Here is a 6000-nt window from a genome sequence, read left to right on the forward strand (position 1 = left end):
TTGCCTTTGGTGACAATGAAAAGATGGATTTTTAAGAATGAAGAACACTCGGATGAGTAACAGTTTTAAGTATAGGAGTATAAAATTGTATAGTCAACTTCAAAATAAAAAGAACCTGAATTAATGCAGAAAAAGATGAAGGAGAGGAGGGAATAGACACCAGAGATCATTTGAAGGTAGAAGCCATGAAACATGTAACCAATAGCAAGAAGCAGGGGAGCAAAGTGAGTCCCATGTCTCACTCGGTAAGCAGTGTCATTAATCAGAGAATCACCCACAGCTGAGAGTGGGATTGTTTATTTGCTTTGTTGAGATTGAGGTGTGTGACAGATATTCAATTGAGATAATCTCCTAGGAGTCTGGAATATTATAGGTCTGTCCCTGGGCTAAACTGTATGAAAGGTAGAGATATTGATTTAGAAGTAATTATCTAATAAATAAATCACAGGGCATATGTGAGTGAGCCTAAGGAGAATTCAGTGAAAGAGAAGAAAAAAGATTGAATACAATTAGCAATATTTAAAGAGTGAGTAGAGAAACAGGGAGTTATGAAGGGAACTGAGAAAGATGGACTCAGAGGTAAACAGGTCAAGAATAAAGAAAGCAACATTATAGAAACATTATGGGGCACGATTATATCAAATATTGCAACAAAATCAATCAATCTGAAGACTGGCAGGTGTCCCCAGGACTTGCCAATATGGTGTTCTTTTAGAACTTATTTTAACAAAGTTCTGAGGACAGAATCCAGGTCTCAGTGAGCCAAGAAAGAATGAGAGGTAGGGAATTGAAGATGCAGAATGTAGACAACTCAATAGAGAAGGCTTCTATCTGTGGGTAAGAAGGAAACTCAAGGTACAGCCTACAGAGAGTCAACATATGTTTTATTTGGGTCTGCTTTATGAAGAAATTAGACTACAGCCATTAACCTACTGAGGCAAAGGAGAAAAAAGAGTAAATGTTCTAATTTAACAAAGAGTAGAACTATCCACACCTGTGATAAAACTAAAATTCCACTATAAATATTAAGCGTGAGGGATAAATGTCAATTTTAACAGAATTTCCATTCAAACTTGTTTTCCCCAATACATCTTCCCAACTTTCTCTCTTGACTTCCCATATCACTTCATAATTTTCAGTAAGATATTTTTGCCTTCACCTTTATTTCTCTGTATCCTTTTCTATATAAATGCATTTGGTAATGCTACTTCATCTTAACTGATTTTTTTTTTCATGTAAAATCAATCTTGGTTGCTGCCCTCCTTAACACCTAAGTCAAATTTCTCAACTTTTAGGCAATATTGGCTATTCAACTCTGTGCCCCAAACTCGTGTATACTATATTACTTTCTACTTTTTGTACATTATTTTTTAAATAAATTACAAATAAAATAAAAATAGATGTCAGAATCTTTTTAAAATGTAAAATGCTGTAAAATATCAAGTCTGATAATATTATTAATATCAATTTAAGGATGCCTTATCTCCCCCTTGATCAAATTGTCAGCCAATATTTGAATCATGAATATAAATCACTGACAAGAAAAAAAAATAGCTCAGGTTGACGTCACTGCCTAGTAGCAAAATTTCCCTTAAAAAATTTAAACCTGTTAATTATATTTTATTTAATTAAATACATATATTTATTTCCATATTTGCATTTCCTTTTTCAAACACATGCAGCAGCAGTCTACTATATGCAATCCTGTTTAATGCAACCAGTTATTTTTGTAACAGTTTATAATTCTTTCACATATTGGCATCATTTCAGCTATTCAATTAAAAATGAGATTTTTTTATTAATGTATTCAGTTGCTCATATAAAGCATCTTGTGCTTAGCATATTAAGCAAAAATAGGGCTATATTGTTTCCATTAACTTACTATTTAATCCTTAAAAATAGAAACCTAATGTAATGGTTACAGTATGGATCCAATACTAAATATAGAATTCTAGTTTTCTGTCCTATAGAAACTCAGATGATCTGTAAAAAAATCACACATCTTCACAACTTCTCCTAAGCCAATAAAAGAGAAATGCTTGCTTTCAAGTTAGATTCTAAATCATAAAATTTATTATATAAGGCCAGAAAATAAAGCAATTATCTTACATGTATTGTAAATACTTCTGAAAAAAATCAATTATGTTTCAGCACCCCTCCAAAACTGCTCATTTAAAAAAATTTATTTTCAAAACATATTTCCTTTTTGCCTAAATAACAGGGCTTGCCCTGAGAAACAATTGTGGATTTTGAAGACTGCACCAAAGTTGTGTGTTGGTATCTGATAAAATTCTAAAAATAATGTTAAACTATTGATAAGAAGCTAGAATACCGGCCTTTACCATCAGAGAAAACTACAGGACACATGGGATCACAACCCCTCTCAGGTATCATGCTCTCTGCCTTACTAATCCCATTTTTCTGTTGTGGTTTAGTTTGTTTGCTTTTTAGAGTTTTTAAAGTAATAGATTAGGGAAGTTTTACAGAATGTGTATTGAATTAAATAACAGATTTGACAGAACTTCCCTGAATATATTTATGTATAAGATTTAGAGAAGCAGCTACAATTAGATGGCTCCATATCTGATTGAACAACCCTATGTAAGAAGTATTGATAAAATTATCTATGTCAATCTCTTTGTCCTTCATCTTGCCCTGTTAGCCCCATCTCAATAGCTTAGACGAAGCTAAAGAAAGCATGCCTACTTGAATTTGAAAAAAAAAAAAAAATAGGACAGTGCTGACAGAAATAACTGATACTTTGGAGGAGAAAGTCGAAACTGTAAAATAGCAGGTGTGATGATAGGCTGGGCCAAAATGATAAAATCAGTAAGAAAAGAAAAAATAGGCTTACGTTAAAATACAACAAAACACACAATACAAGGAAATGAATGGCAGTTGGCACGGAAAAAGTCAACCCTCAGAGGTTTTATTGGACCACAAGCTTACTAGGAGCTAAGAAGCTGATAACGGTGCCTAAAGGAGCTAAGGAAGCAATGGTGCTGTGGACAGCCCGCCATTCCCAGAAGCTGCTGCTACTCCCGCCCCCAACCCCCAAAGTCAGGTCCTGGGAAAAAGCTATTCTGAGTGTCTGCATTCTTGGGCTAGAATTTCTTCAAAGGCACCATAATAAAATATCCATACCACTGAGCTGGAGCCTTGAAAAGTGGCCATTCATTCATGTCCTCAAACCACAGCATGTTCAAATTCACCCATGAGCTCTATCAGGAAGTGTAACTCCAGGGAATTCTAGCACATGAGGTGGGATTTTTCAAGGCCACCCCCGTTTTTAAGGGAATTATTCAAATATCCACTAAATGAAAGAAATGGACAGCTCAATTTAGAAGAGCTGTATGTTGGAGTCTAGGTATGGATAGAGAGATGGATGTGAGAAGTGGCTAGATCAGACTGGAAGCAGCACAAAATAAATAGGAAAAGCATAGAATTTGGGGAGTAGGGGATGACCAAGAATGAGAAGGATGTACATGAAGGAAGGAGCCAGAAGAATGGGACTTTGGCTGGGCGCGGTGGCTCACGCCTGTAATCCCAGAACTTTGGGAGGCCGAGGTGGGCGGATCACTAGGTCAGGAGATTGAGACCATCCTGGCCAACACTGGAAAACCCCATCTCTACTAAAACACAAACAAAAATTAGCCGGGCGTAGTGATGCGCGCCTGTAGTCCCAGCTACTTGGGACGCTGAGGCAGGGGAATCGCTTGAACCCGGGAGGCAGAGATTGCAGTGAGCCGAGATCGTGACACTGCACTCCAGCCTGGCCACACGGCCAGACTCCGCGTCAAAAAAAAAAAGAACGGGACTTCATGTTACTGTTTCTAAACCTTAACTTCTCTTAAAGTTCAGAACATCTGGCAAAATCATGCTTTACACTTACTGTACCATTGCCACTTTTTCACTTCTACCACTCCTGACAGATTCATCAAAGATTTGAGCAGATCAATCCACTTTCATTCCTATTTCTACTAATCTTGGACAACTGCCACTTCTGTGTGGACAGTATATTCAACACTCCAACCTTATTGTTTATATATCTCTGTCTGGATACCCTAGTCCATATCATATCCCAAATCATCTAGCTCCAGATTTCTAATTTCTTGATTACCACACTGTGTCCACAATCTCATGTGTTTTCTGCTTCCTCAACTTTTTGGTCCACTGATAATATTCTTCAATCTCATTAAGGACTCTAGTCCTTCACCCTTCCGATTTTACTTAATCTCTCATCCTCCACCTGGCGTCACTAAATTTTTCAGCTGGGCTTCATTTTCCTCACTTGTAAATGGGAGTAGGAATACCCACCTTACATATTTGATGTGAGAATTAGAGATAAATTATGTAAAACATAACCTTGTTCCATGCTAAAAGTAGGCATTAAGTGATGGTTACCAACCTTAATCCCCATAAAGCTCATGACATTTTACTTAGAGATCTCTCTTGCCATTACCATCAGTTCCCTTGCCTTTTGTCCTTCTTCTGCACCTAATTAGCAAAACTCAAACCCTGGATCAACCAATCACTCCCTTTCCAGTCACATATCTGGCTGCCAAGCACTGCTAAAAACAAATTCCACAACCACATGGATTGATGCCACTACAAATTTATGGTCTCCCACATCAGTTGGGCTATTAACACTACACAGTAAAACTTCTAACTATCCCTAATCCACTTCCTCTGTCATTCACCACAATAATATTTTCAAACTTTCACTAACCTGATTTTCTCCATCATTCTCAGCAAATGAACTCTGCTTTAGAGAGAAAATACAGATCATCTTGCAAGAACGTTCTCCACTTCCTTTCTCTCCCCAAAACACAAACAAGTGTAAATATAGTCAGAGCCAGCCTTACCTCTTCCCTTTCTATTTTAGCTAAATTGTTGTCCTACATTTCAAATGTTAAACCTACCATCTGTTCTTTGAATCACATCTTCTCATTTCTTTGGGAAGCTTACATTGCGTCTCTTCTCTTCTGTATTTCAACTTCTCTTTTTCTTTCAGCATCTCCTATTTTGTCGCTCTGTTTCCTTCTAGTGTACACCTTAGTTTTTCGTTCACCTTACAACCATGTTTCTCCAAAGAGCAGTATGTACTTACCTCCATGACTCCATTTTTTAGGACTGTGTCAACCACCATATCTGTGTTTTTCTATCTCTATTACAGTAAATTCAATCTTGCAAATGTCTTTAATTACTAAAAACAACAAACATGTTTTAGTCCTTACCTTACATGACCTTTCTTCTACTCATGATGTTGTTTATCATCTTTATTGAGATTCTTTCCTCCTATGACTGTTAAGCCACCATTTACTCTTGATTTTCCTCTTCTTTCTTTTTTTTGGGCAGGGGGAGGGTCACGGGGGATGAAATTTCCCTCTTGTTGCTCAGACTGGAGTGCAATGGCACCATCTCAGCTCACTGCAGCCTATGCCTTCTGGATTCAAGCAATTCTCCTGCCTCAGCCTCCTGAGTAACTGGGATTACAGGCGCCCGCCACTATACCCAGCTAATTTTTTGTATTTTTAGTAGAGATGGCGTTTTGCCATGTTGGCCAGGCTGGTCTCGAACTCCTAGCCTCAGGTGATCTGCCCACCTCAGCCTACCAAAGTGCTGGGATTACAGGCGTTTGAGCCACTGCGCCAGGCCTCTTCTGTCTTTCATAGAGAAAAATCTCATTCATTTAAGGATTTTTAACTACCAGTAACCTTAATAGTACAACACCTAACTTACTTCTTGACTTGAATGTCACATTGCGTCCGGAATTGGTGGGTTCTTGGTCTCACTGACTTCAAGCATGAAGCCACGGACCCTCGCGGTGAGTGTTACAGCTCTTAAGGCGGCGCGTCTGGAGTTTGTTCCTTCTGATGTTCGCATGCATTCGGAGTTTCTTCCTTCTGGTGGGTTCGTGGTCTCGCTGGCTCAGGAGTGAAGGTGCAGACCTTCGCCCTGAGTGTTACAGCTCTTAAGGCGGCGCGTCTGGAGTTGTTC

The 6000-nt window shown here is 38.2% G+C and overlaps 1 long non-coding RNA gene across 7 annotated transcripts in view; it reads right to left on the reverse strand.

The window, feature by feature from the left end:
• Nucleotides 1-4841, reverse strand: part of LOC105377989 (uncharacterized) — a 347578-nt gene extending 342737 nt beyond the window's left edge. For all 7 annotated transcript variants that reach the window (XR_002956387.2, XR_007059748.1, XR_007059747.1 and 4 more), the window contains exon 1: nucleotides 4730-4841. This is a non-coding gene — a long non-coding RNA (uncharacterized LOC105377989). The remainder of the gene's footprint in view (nucleotides 1-4729) is intronic.
• Nucleotides 4842-6000: the final 1159 nt, after the last annotated feature.

This window comes from Homo sapiens, chromosome 6, assembly GCF_000001405.40.
Source record: "Homo sapiens chromosome 6, GRCh38.p14 Primary Assembly".
In the NCBI taxonomy this organism is placed as follows: Eukaryota; Metazoa; Chordata; class Mammalia; order Primates; family Hominidae; genus Homo; species Homo sapiens.